Raw genomic sequence first — 12,980 nt, forward strand, 5'->3', positions numbered from 1 at the left:
AGAGAGGCATGGCTCAGCCTAGGGCTCAGGGGTTCAGGAGCGCAGGGAGATCCTTGCAGAAGGCCTGGTGGGCTCGGTCATGGAGTGGGCTTTGTCCCTTCCAGACCTCAGTCCACACTGCCTTTCTTTTTTTTCCTATTTTTTTTTTTTTTTTTTTTTTTTTTGAGATGGAGTCTCACTCTGTCACCCAGGCTGGAGTGCAGTGGCACGATCTCGGCTCACTGCAACCTCCACCTCCTGGATTCAAGTGATTGTCCTGCCTCAGCCTCCTGAGTAGCTGGGATTGCAGGTGCCCGCCACCACTCCTGGCTAATTTTTGTATTTTTATTTTATTTTATTTTTTGTTTGTTTATTTGTTTTGAGATGGAGTTTCGCTCTTGTTGCCCAGGCTGGAGCGCAATGGTGCGGTCTCAGCTCACTGCAACCTCTGCCTCCCAGGTTCAAACGATTCTTCTGCTTTAGCCTCCCGAGTAGCTGGGATTACAGGTGCACATCACCATGCCCAGCTAAGTTTTGTATTTTTAGTAGAGACCGGGTTTCACCATGTTGGCCAGGCTGGTCTTGAACTCTTGACCTCAGGTGATCCACCCACCTTGGCCTCCCAAAGTGCTGGGATTACAGACATGAGCCACTGCGCCCGACCCACACCGCCTTCCTTCCTTCACTTGTTCATTCAGTAAATACCACTGATGTGGGCCCTGCGCTAAACCCGAACGAGGGGTGGGGAGATGCGGAGACGGGAGTTCAAGGGCCTGTGGTCTCTCTGCAGGCTGCAGTTACACGGGTCAGGTGGACAGCAGCACGTCTGCACAGGTGTGTCCCGTGTGAGGCTGCATTTGGCTGGAAGTTGTCACCGAGTCCCTGGCTTGGGGATGATTTTGCAGACCCAGGGATGGCGCTGTCATACCAGCTCTTTGCAGAACTACCTGCCTGGAGAAGGCATAGGGGTAAGGCTTTCCCTGATCCTTCAAGCCGTCTGGACAGTGGAGACCAGCCCCAGAGGATTGTAGAACATGACGAGGCCTTTGACTCTGCCTGCCTAGCCTCCCAGTCACTGGGCTTCTGGACAAGAGGCAGCACTGCTCTGAGCTTCCTACCAGTGATGATGAGGGTGATGATGAAAGCTATGTCAGCGGGATGGTCTCTAAAGCCTCTCCCAGCTCTAATCCTGCCAGGAGGAGGAGGAAGAAGAAGAGGAGCAGGAGGTGGAGGAGAAGGAGAAGGAAGAGAAAGAGGAGAGAAGGAAGAGGAGAAGGAGGAGGAGGAAAAGGAAGACTAGAAGAAGGAAGAGGAGGGGGAGCAGGAGGACAAAGAGAAGGAGGAGGAAGAGGAAGAGTAGGAGGAAGAAGAGAAAGAGGAGGAGGAAAAGGAGGAGGAAGAGGAAGAGTAGGAGGAAGAAGAGGAAAAGGAGGAGGCAGAAGAGGGAGAGGAGGAGGTGGAGGAGGAAGAGGAGGAAGAAGATGTTGGAGGCTGAGGAGGAGGAAGAGTAGGAGGTAGAGGAAGAGGAGGAGAAGGAAGAGAAGGAGGAGGAAGAGGAGGAAGAGGAGGAGGGAGAAGAGGAGGAGGAGGAGGAAGACCCTGGAGAGGGATGGACCCTGCAGCAATTTCCCAACTGGGCCCCAACCCAGGACACCACCTCTTGTCTCCAGCGGAAAGCTGCAGGATCTGGTGGTGTCGAAGCCACGTTTCCTCTCTGCCTGCTGGGGGTTACGTGAACTGCCAAAAATTCCTACCTTGAAAGGTAGGAAGAAATGTCAGACTTGGAAAGAAATGATCCAACATAAAAGGCAGACTTCATTACCAGCCGGGTTTATTTCATTCTCCCCTGGATTCGGAGTGGCTTCAAATTCTCCCGGGCCTGACCTTTGCAGGGGAACTGAGGAATTTCTCAGAGATGCCAAGACAGCAGTGTGTGGCGGGGGTGCCACCGGCTGCCGGACAATTAGTCCCAGAGCCTGGTCCTTTGGAAAAGGTGTTCTGCTGGTGGAGACTCGCTGGGCTGTGATGTGATCGTGTCGGATGCCAAATTCCACAGTCAGTCCCTTTCAGCAGTCACATTCCTTAGATTCTTATCAGGGATTTTCCCCCCCAAGTGAACACTGGGAACCAGCCTCCCCGCTGATTGCAGGAGGATGGGAGGAAATTAAAAGCAGGAATCCTGGCGGTTGTCCTGGTTCGTCACCAGCTTGCCGTGCCAGCTTGAGCCCTTCCCTTCCCCTTTCCCCTTCTCTGGGCCTCGGTTTTCTCACCTGTAAAAAGGGGGTTGGGGCGGGATGATCTTTCCAAGGCCTCTGGCTGTGAAAATTCTATTTTCTCTTTCTTTTCTTCTTTCTTTCTCTTTTTCTTTCTTTCTTTCTTTCCTTCATTCTTTTTTCTTCCTTCCTTCTTTCCTTTCTTCTCTTTCTCTTTCTTTCTCCCCTCCCCTCCCTCCCTTCCTTCCTTCCTTCCCTCCCTCCCTCCTTCCCTCCCTCCTTTCACTGCTTCCTTTCATTTCTTTCTCTCTTTCTCTCCTTCTTTCCCTTCCTTCCTCCCTCCCTCCCTCCCTCCCTTGCCCCCTTTCCTTTCCTGTCCTGTCCTTTCCCTCCTCTCCCCTCTCCTCCCCTCCCCTTTCCTTTTCTTTCTTTCCTCTATCTTTCCTCTTCCTTTCTTTGACAGGGTCTTGCTCTTTTGCCCAAGCTAGAGTGTGGTGGTGCAATCTCAGCTCACTGCAGCCTTGACCTCCGGGGCTCAAGAGATGCTCCCACCTCAGCTTCTCGAGTAGCTGGGATTAGTCACGTGCCACTATGCCCAGCTAATTTTTAAATTTTTAGTAGAGATGGGGTCTCGCTGTATTGCCCAGGCTGGTCTCAAATTCCTGGCTTTAAGCAATCCTCCCTCCTCAGCCTCCCAAAGTGCTGGGATTACAGTCATGAGCCACTGCGTGTGGCCGGCAAAGTCTTAATAATTCTCCATTCAAGTCCATAGAGAGATGGTTTCAGGGGACAATAGACCTAAACAAAATTCTGTCTTCACAGAGTGGGAGATGCTTGTGGGACAGTTGCTGCAGTGGGAGATTAGGAGTGGGGGCCTTCTTGTGTGTCCCCTCCTTCATGGGGGAGCATTCCTCCCCCTGAAATGGTGCAGCTCTACTAAGTCTCTACTAAAAATACAAAAATTAGTGGGGTGTGGTGGTATGTGCCTGTAATCCCAGTTAATTGGGAGGCTGAGGCAGGAGAATCACTTGAGCCTGGGAGGCAGAAGTTGCAGTGAGCTGAGATTATGCTACTGCACTCCAGCCTGGGAGACAGAGTGAGACTCTGCTTCAACAACAACAACAAAACAAAACAAAACAAAAAAACTTTTTGTAGAGACCAGGTCTTGCTATATTGCCCAGGTTGGTCTTGAACTCCTGGCCTCAAGTGATGCTCCTGCCTCGACCTCTCAAAGTGCTGGAATTGCAGCATGAACCACCGTGCCCAGCCTAAACCATCTTTTCAATGGCAGTCCTCTTCTCTTCTGTTGGCCCACATTTTAAAACAGCTTTTATGAGAGTGCCATTTATTCAGAAAAAAAGACTCCAGGATTATCCTGGTTAAATTTCAGATTAAAGCCTGATCCAGGCCGGGCACGGTGGCTCACGCCTGTAATCCCAGCACTTTGGGAAGCCTAGGCGGGCAGGTCACTTGAGGTCAGGAGTTCGAGACCAGCCTGGCCAACATGGTGAAACCCTGTCTCTACTAAAAATATAAAATTTGCCGGTGTGCTGGTGGGCACCTGTAGTCCCAGCTACTTGGGAGGCTGAGGCAGGAGAATCGCTTGAACCAGGGAGGTGGATGTTGCAGTGAGCCAAGATCATGCCATAGCACTCCAGCCTGGGCAACAGAGCTATGCAAGAAGAGAAGCTGTGTCCTTATTTCTGGACACAGTTGTGTGAGGTTGTGAAGCCTGGAGCGGTGGCAGCCATCTTAGAGCCATGAGGCAAGACAGCCTGGGGAAGGCAGAGCAGGAGGCAGGGTCTTTGACTGTGTGATGCTGCCTAATTAGCCAACTCTGCAGCCACTCACTTCTCAATATGTGAAATCTTAAGTGACCTGGTTGTTCAAGCCCAATTTATCAGTAGGGTTTTTACAACGCATCTGAAAGCATCCTCGCCAAAACAACCTGCTGTCAAAACATACTATCAAGGCGTGAGAATGTGAGACCGGGAGACACTTGGTGTCCTGGTTGCACCATTTACCCTCCCCCCCCAAATGGCTTTGGGCAAATCTCAATGCCACAACCTCAGTTTTCCATCTACAAAGTAGCAGTTCACCTTCCCAGGGGAGCCAGAAGTCCCAAAGACAATAGCACCGATATGAATGTAAATTTGTGGACTGCAAACTTCTAAGCATAGCAGATGTTACCATTAAACTATAAATAGGCCAGGCACAGTGGCTCATACCTGGAATCCCATCTCTTTAGGAGGCTGAAGTAGGAGGATTGCTTGAGCCCAGGAGCTCAAGACCAGCCTAGGCTATATAGTGAATCTCCCTGTCTCTACAAAAACAAAGTGCGAAAATTAGCTAAGTGTAATGATACGCGCCTGTGGTTCCAGCTACGCAGGAGGCTGAAGAGGGAGGATTGCTTGAGCTCAGGAAGCAGAGGTTGCAGTGAGCTGTGATCATGCCACTGCACCCCAGCCTGGGTCACAGAGTGAGATTTTGTCTCCAAAATAAATAAATAAACAAATAAATAATTGTACTTTATGGGCCGGGCATGGTGGCTCATGCCTATGATCCCAGCACTTTGGGAGGCGGAGGCGGGCAGATCACAAGGTCAGGAGATCGAGACCATCCTGGCTAACACGGTGAAACCCCGTCTCTACTAAAAATACAAAAATTAGCCGGGCGTGGTGGCAGGCGCCTGTAGTCCCAGCTACTCAGGAGACCGAGGCAGGAGAATGGCGTGAACCCCGGGAGGCAGAGCTTGCAGTGAGCTGAGATCGCGCCACTGCACTCCAGCCTGGGTGACGGAACAGAGCGAGACTCCGTCTCTAAAAAAAAAAAAATTATACTTTATAATGAAAATATAATCATAATCCTGAACTAGCTCTATCTCTTCTGGTAAGGAAAGGAGACAAGACTTTTTACCCACATGGTATCTACATTTTTTTTTTTTTAGAGACAAAGTCACTGTATCACCCAGGCCAGATCGCAGTGGTACAATTACAGCTCACTACAGCCTTGGACTCCTTGGGCTCAAGTGATCCTCCCACCTCAGCTCCCCAAATTGGACTACAGACACAAGCCACCATGCCCAGCTAATTTTTTTTTCCCCAAATGCTGATCCTCCCTGAATGCTGGTCCTCCCTAAATCCTGATTGTCCCTGAATGCTGATGCTTCCTAAAATGATCCTCCTTAAATGTGCTCCTCCCTGAATGCTGATCTTTTCTCACGTGGTCCTCCCTCACATGATCCTCCCTAAGTGCCGACCCTATAGAAAGCGCTTGGCACCATCTCTCCCCCTAGCCTGTTCCCTCTGGCCCTCCTATTAATGGCGGTAGTTGGGGATCACTGCTGAAGTGCTCAAAACCACACAGCCTGCTTGGCCAAATCACATACTTCTCAGCTGCCCCCTCCACATGGAAAACTCAATCCATCAGTGGCCCCGCCAGCCCTTCCCGCCAGTGCGCAGGCAAGGAGCCGATGCTGCCTGTGGGGCTGGCTCTCAGGTGGGGTGGGCCCCAAAATTCCCCACCGTGGAAGCTGCTGGAGAATAAATGCAGATAACGAGGAGGGAGGAAGCTGAGAGGCTGGTGGCACGGCCGTGCTCCGTGGAGTAGGTCGTGCACTCCCGGAGCCCCTCTCCCTCCTCCCCGGATGGAAATCCACACAACTCCTTTGCCCTTCAGACCTCCGTGCTGCGCCCTGGAAACCATGTCATCGCCTTTGTGTTTTTGCAAAAAGATTTGGTCAGTCGCCATGGAGATTTCAGATCATCTTTTCCCTCCAAAAATCAATGACCTTAACTTTTCAATTCCTTCCCTGCGGTGCTTCGAAATGGACAGTTCCAGTAAAAACTATTATGAGGAAACGCAGGCAGGTCTATCTGCTATCCAAACACTCCTACTGTTTTTTGTGCCCGAAAAACTGATCAGGCCATGGTGTTACATACACTCGGCTATTCCTATGTGAACAAAACCACCACTCCCTGCGGTGTTGAGGCGGATGAGTGATGGACAGGAACAGCAGCCTCAGAGACACTCATTTTGCTGGAAGGGATGACCCGATTTGTGCCAATTTGCTCGATGGCAGACAGATGATGGAGAAGTGCTCTCAGGGGGCTGTTGGGGGGCTATGGCCATGAGCACCTTCATGGACTGTCCATTTACCCCCACTGGGCTCAGCTTCCAGCTTCTGCCTCTCCATCCTGCCCCAGCAGGTACTCCTGGAACCCCACTCTGAGTTCCCTTCTTTAAAAACTTTCCATGTGTTGGCCGGGTGCAGTGGTGCAGGCCTGTAGTCCTAGCTACTTGAGAGGTGGAAGAATCTCTTGAGCCCAGGAGTTCTGAGACCAGCCTGGGCGACATAGCAGGACCCCATCTCTGCAAAACATTTCTTAAAAAAATAGCTGGGCATGGTGGCACGCACTTGTAGTCCCAGCTACTTGAGAGGCTGAGGCAGGAGGATTGCTTGAGCCCAGGAGGTTGAGGCTGCAGTGAGCTAGAATTGCATCACTGCACTCCAGCCCGGGCAACAGAACAAGATGCTGTCCCTGTAAAAAACAAACAAGAAAACCTCATCCTACTTTCCACGTTTTCACCTCCTCTTTTCCAATAGGGTGAGTCTCCAAGCTCCTCCAGAGCCAACATGTCTCCACCTTCCACCCCCATCGAGTGGGTATCCTGCTCGCCCCTTCAAGGATGGGGTATCTACTCCACCCACTGTGGGCAGCCCATTGCACTTGTGGGCAGCTCTTCCTGGCAGCGGGTACCTCCTTATCCTGAGTGATGCCTGTCTCCCAGCAGCTTAATGCTCTGACCTGACTCCATGCCCTCTGGGGCCATGAGAGCAAGTCTGGTCCAACTCCCCTACAGGATGTTGGGGCAGAAAGCTGGCTGCCTTCACCATGGCCCTCCGCTTGTCTCTGCTCGATATTCCTGAGGAACCTGTCCTCAACAGCCCTCACCTGTTCTTCTAGAGAGGGCAGGTCTGAGCCTGAGGAGCCATGGGACCTCCTTTTCACCTGGCCAAATCCCGGGTGATGACTTTTCTTCCCATGGAAGCTCACGGCTCTAACTCTGACATCAGCCTCCCCTCCCTCCCAGCTCAATCACCTTCTGCTTGTAGGACAGTGGCCATAGATATCTCCTCCCGGGGCTCTGGGTGGCAGTTTCTCTGCATTTCTATTGAACCTCATGGCAGACACAGGGAGAGTCCTCAGTGAGGTAGGAGATGGGATTTGACTCTGGAGGTGGGGTGCAGACACTGGACCAAATTGAGGACTAGCTAAAACAGGGAAGAGGTGAAAGCACCTCTCCATAAAACATACCCCCTAGCACCATAACGATTTACCATTGCCATGGCAACACCCAGAAGTTACAGCCCCTTTCCATGGCAATGACCTGATAACCCAGCAGTTAGCACCCCTTCAAAGTTATCACCCGGAAGTTACCACTTAATCATATGCAAATTAAGGGGCGGGTTATACAGAAATTATGAATAACCTGCCTGTTAATTTGCATACCATTAAGATGGGTATAAATAGGAGTGAAGCTCTACCTCTGAGCTGCTACTCTGGGCACACTGCCTGTGGGGTAGCCCTACTCTGTAAAGAGCAGAACGTCTGCTGCTGCTGTGCACTGCTGCTTTGATAAATTTGCTAATACCACTGGCTTGCCCTTGAATTCTTTCCTAGGCTAAGCCAAGAACCCTCCCTGGTTAAGCCCCAACACTGGGGTTCACCTATACTGCATCAGTGGAAGAAGATTCTGAGCCAGAGTCTAACATGGAGGGTGTTTATTAGGGATGGCTTTTAGGATAAATCCCTGGGGAAGGGAGGGGACTGAGGCAGGAATGAGCAGAAGGAGACGAGCCTCCATATAGGCCAGGACAGCTGCCCCAGACCCCATGAGGCTCTGCAGCTGGGATGCTCTTTCAGCGTTGTCCCCAGGCAGGGATATGTCCAGGCTTTTCAAGTGCGCCTCCACCAGTCACAGGATGGAGGGTGCCCCAGGAAGAGCTGGGACCTTGGATGAGGTGACTCTGAGCAGCTGAATGATGGATGTCTGTTGACAGCACTTCCTGTAGCTGGGGCTAAAAGCCTTTCTCAATGCAGGGGATCTGGGTGGCACAGCCCAACATCTACCACAAGGGCTGGTGGGCATGGAGGGGAACAAGGTGTGTTCCTGATGCTATTTTGCTAGTAAGACAGCCTGGGATGGCCTTTGATTTGTAGAGGCCACAACTCTGTTGACTCATGCTGAACTTATTGTTGGCAAGAACCTCTACATCCCATCTGAGGCTTGTCCTCTGGGCTCTGGGGCTGCAGTGCAGGACTTCATATTTGCCTGGTTGTATTTCATGTTGTTAGACTTGGCTCCTTGCTGCGGCTGTGCAGATCTAGCTTGGATCCCAACTCTCTCCTAAGACCCAGGCCCCTGTCTCTGCTGGCTCCTGGTCTTCCACAGTTCCCAGCAGCAGTTTACTGCCTCCCCAGTCAAGGTCTTCCTCTCCTAGAGGCATGGCCTCAAGAAGACAGACAGCCACGTGCCAAGACCCAGATCGTCTGGCTGTTTAGCAAAGTGTCTAAGAGTTGCCCGTTGACTTGTTGTTGCCTTGGACATGTTATTTACTCCTTCCTGTGCCTCAGTTTCCTTCTCTGTAAAAGTAGAATAATAACAGTACTTACCACCCAGATTTGGGTGAAGATGATCAGGACACCTTGCTTAGGTAGCAGAATGAGGAGGGGAAGAGAAACCACTCCATGCGCTTGGCTGGGGTCTGAACCACACTCAACTCTCATCTCACTGGTTTCAAACAGGAGTAGGGATAGTTCCTCCTCCTTGCTATTTTTCCTGGTCCTTGAGGGATATGGGTAAGAAGGACCTATGAGGGGATATTTTATTTGCTCTCTGATTATCCACCTGTTCTCATTAGCAAAGTGGATGGAGCATGGGGTTGGGAATGAGAAGACTGAGTTTCAAGGCATAAATTTACTACATACTCATTCTGTGACTTGTGGTCTTCTCTGGAGTTTCTTATCTGTAAAATTCCTGCATGTCACATTGTTGAGAAGACCGAACAGAAGAATGTACATGTATTCATTTGCCAGGGCTGCCATGCCACCGACTGGGTGGCTTAAACAAAAGAAGTTTATCTTCTCATAGTTCTGGAAGCTGGAAGTAGAAGCTGGAAGTAGATCAAGGTGTGTTACCACCTGATCAGGGTTCTCACCCACCATGCAGATGCAGCCAAAATACTGAAACAGCAGGTGTTGCAGCAGAGAAAGCATTTAATTATTTCAAGGCAACTGAGCGAGGAGGACAGGAGATAGTTCTCAAATCCACCTTCCTGAGATTTCAGAGGCTAGGGTCTTTTTTTTTGAGACGGAGTCTCGCTCTGTTGCCCAGGCGGGAGTGCAGTGGTGTGATCTCTGCTCACAGCAACCTCCACCTCCCGGGTTCATGCCATTCTCCTGTTTCAGCCTCCCGAGTAGCTGGGACTACAGGTGCCCACCACCACGCCCGGCTAATTTTTTGTGTTTTTAGTAGAGACAGGGTTTCACCATGTTAGCCAGGATGGTCTTGATCTCCTGACCTCATGATCCACCCGCCTCAGCCTCCCAAAGTGCTGGGATTATGGGTGTGAGCCACCGCACCTGGCCAGAGGCTAGGGTTTTTAAGGTTGGTTTGGTGGGCAGGGGGCTAGGGAATGGGTGCTACTGATTGGTTGGGCATGAACTCTTAAGGGTGTTAAAACTATCTTTGTGCACCAAGTCCATTTCTGGGTGGTGGAGGGTCATGGATTGCTGGGCCAGCTGGTGTTCGTTGGTTCATCAGTTCATCTGAATGCAAACTCTAAAAAGTATTGCAAAGACCAGTCTTAGGTTTCACAATAACATGACTCCTGAATGCTAAGTTATTACAGAAGAGCAAACTAGGGAAAAATAGTGGGTTCTTGTTTTACCGTACCTGCATCTTAGCAACTTTTGGTTGTCACAAAAGAAGTTACATGACTAAGGATCATTGTTCTTAAGAAAAGAAGTTTATTAATCTTGTTGGACAGCCTGCCTGGGACTAGGAGAGGAAGGTAGTGAATTATTAGTGACTACTGTCTGTTGAAATGACTGTACATGTAATCATGCATAAAGGATGAAAAGGTCAGAGAGAAAGGAAAAAATATATAACAAACATCTTATGATTGAGTTCTCCCGGGTTCAAGAGATTCTCCTGCCTCAGCCTCCTGAGTAGCTGGGACTACAGGTGTGCACCACCACGCCCGGCTAATTTTGGTGTGTGTGTGTGTGTGTGTGTGTGTTTTGAGACGGAGTCTTGCTCTGTAGCCCAGGCTGGAGTGGAATGTCACGATCTCAGTTCATTACAACCTCTGCCTCCTAGGTTCAAGTGATTCTTCTACCTCACCCTTCCAGAGTGCTAGGATTTCAGGCATGAGGCACCACACCCAGCTAATTTTTTTTTCTAATTTTTTTTTGTAGAGCTGGGGTCTTGCTACGTTGCCCAGGCTGGGCAAACCTTAGTTCTAACAGAGCTTCTTGAACACAGTTGGCAGGCAACCTCACTGGCACTGGCCTTTCTGAGGGATTGGGCAGGTGTGGCCAGGTAATTAGAACAGTGAGGGCAGGTGTGGTGCTGGGGAGCTGGGCCTGAAGCTGGACACCCCCAACCTTGAGATGGCTCAGATCCTGCTGGGGCTCAGGTCCTGGCACAGACCACAGCCCAGAGCAGCTGCTGTGGTTGAGCTGAGTGACTGTGGATGGGAGGGCTCCTTCTGGGATGCAGGGGTTGGGGTCGGAGCAACAGAACTTTACCAGGCCTGCCCTGTGTCCGCCGTCTTCAGGAGCTGGGAGTCTTCCCATAGGACGAAGGCTAAGACAGAGGCATACAAGGGGGCCCTGTGGGACAGGAGAACCTTTCCTGGCTGGAGGGTCAGGGAAGGCTCGCGGGAGGGACACGGCCACGTCTGTGCTTGAGAGCGCGCCCTCTGGTGGTAGATAGAGGAGACTGCAGGCTGGGAGGGCAGGAGGGGCCGAGGTTCAGGACCACCATGGGAGGGGCGTCAGGACACGGACTTGCAGGCACGGTGCCTAATTGGCCGTAAGGAGGCAGGGAAGGGAGGGAGGAAAGGAGAAGGTGGAGTCTGGGTGATTTGCTCCTGGTAAGGAAACGGGGAACTTAGAGGTGCTGGCCTCCAAGCTGGAGGAGCAAGTCGGGGTTGAATAGTGATGGATTCAGTTGGATTGGACAGGTTGGCATTGTGTGTACTGCAGTGTCCTGTGGGACATGACGGTGTGTGACCACTGTCTAGGCAAGCAGGCAGGCACAGTGGTGACTCAACAGGGGGCCAGGACAGAGCTCAGGATGAGGAAGTGGGGACAGACTGTGTGGTTCTGGTGGAAAGGAGGGGGGCCCTGGCAAGGCCTTGGGGCCTTGCAGAATTGCTTGAGCCCAGGAGGTCAAGGCTGCAGTGAGCTATGATTGTGCCACTGCACTCCAACCTGGACAACAGAACAAGACTCCATTCCAAAACAAAACAAAAGAAAAAACAAAAGCCCTGGTCTCTGACTCAGGCTCGGGACTCAAGTGTCCTGGGGAGGGAGGGGACGCATGAGATCAACCCTCAAAGCAAAGCTCAGTTAGGAGCACTGGGGCTTGGAAGGCCAAGCCTGAGGCTGGGGTAGAGGTGGTGAGGTAGGAGGTGGAACTTGACTCCAGGGGCAGAGCTTGGACACCAGACCAAATTGAGGACTAGCTAAACAAAACAGATCGGGGCAGAAGCGCCTCCCCATAAGACATGCCCACCAGTGCGCCATGTCAGTTTCCCATTGCCATGACAACACCAGGAGTTACCACCCCTTTCCATGACAACGACCCAACAACCCTAAAGCTACCACCCTCATCCTGGAAGTTTACGCATAAACCACCCCCAATTTGCATACAATTAAAAGTGGGGCCGGCACAGTGGCTCATGCCTGTAATCCCAGCACTTTGGGAGGCCCAGGCGGGCAGATCATTTGAGGTCAGGAGTTTGACACCAGCCTGATTAATATGGTGAAACCCCCTCTCTACTAAAAGTATAAAAATTAGCCAGGCGTGGTGGTGTGCACCTGTAATCCCAGCTACTAGGGAGGCTGAGACAGGAGAACCCCTTGAACCTGGGAGGCGGAGGTTGTAATGAGCCAAGATTGCATCGCTGCCCTTCAGCCTGGGCCACAGAGCGAGACTCCGTCTCAAAAAAAAAAAAAAAAAAAAAAAGTGGGTATAGATATGAGTGCAGCCCTGCCTCTGAGCTGCTACTCTGGGCACACTGCCTCTGGGGTAGCCCTGCTCTGCAGGGAGCAGGACCTCTGCTGCTGCTGTGCACTGCCACTTCAATAAAAGTTGCAACACCACTGGCTTGTCCTTGAATTCTTTCCTGGGGGAAACTAAGAACCCTCCCTGGCTAAGCCTCAATTTTGGGGCTCCCCTGTCCCGTGTCACCAGGGCAATGGGGGGAAGAGGCTGCTTCAGCAGCATCTCTTAGGGCAGCAGGCAGCCTCGGAGAGGGGTTGACTGGTCACATTCCGAGATGGGCATGAACCTGGGAAGTGTCCTGAAGATCTCTCTATCGCATCATGACATGATTTCCTGAAATCACTTAGCACTTGTTTTCTCTATTAACCGCCAATTAAGGATTTGATGGCTCAGCCAAGTCACAGAGCCAAACGCCTGGTGGGGTGAAAGTACTGTGCAAGCAAGCCTTGAGCTGGTGGTGGCTCGGGACGGTTTGATTGCTCCTCCCCC

The 12,980-nt window shown here is 51.4% G+C and overlaps 1 protein-coding gene across 5 annotated transcripts in view, besides 2 other annotated features; it reads left to right on the forward strand.

Annotated features, from left to right (window-relative positions):
• The window catches only part of COL26A1 (collagen type XXVI alpha 1 chain), a 196,637-nt gene that overhangs the window by 37,828 nt on the left and 145,829 nt on the right, over window positions 1–12,980 (forward strand). The window lies entirely within an intron of this gene.
• Window positions 789–1,316: an enhancer, noted in NCBI's record as "H3K27ac-H3K4me1 hESC enhancer chr7:101044285-101044812 (GRCh37/hg19 assembly coordinates)". NCBI's record gives its function as "activates a minimal SCP1, AML or CMV promoter by ChIP-STARR-seq in primed H9 embryonic stem cells {active_cell/tissue: H9 hESC(primed)}" and the evidence as "EXISTENCE:reporter gene assay evidence [ECO:0000049][PMID:30033119]".
• Window positions 11,072–11,615: an enhancer, noted in NCBI's record as "H3K27ac-H3K4me1 hESC enhancer chr7:101054568-101055111 (GRCh37/hg19 assembly coordinates)". NCBI's record gives its function as "activates a minimal SCP1, AML or CMV promoter by ChIP-STARR-seq in naive H9 embryonic stem cells {active_cell/tissue: H9 hESC(naive)}" and the evidence as "EXISTENCE:reporter gene assay evidence [ECO:0000049][PMID:30033119]".

The sequence above is a fragment of the Homo sapiens genome, chromosome 7 (assembly GCF_000001405.40).
Source record: "Homo sapiens chromosome 7, GRCh38.p14 Primary Assembly".
In the NCBI taxonomy this organism is placed as follows: Eukaryota; Metazoa; Chordata; class Mammalia; order Primates; family Hominidae; genus Homo; species Homo sapiens.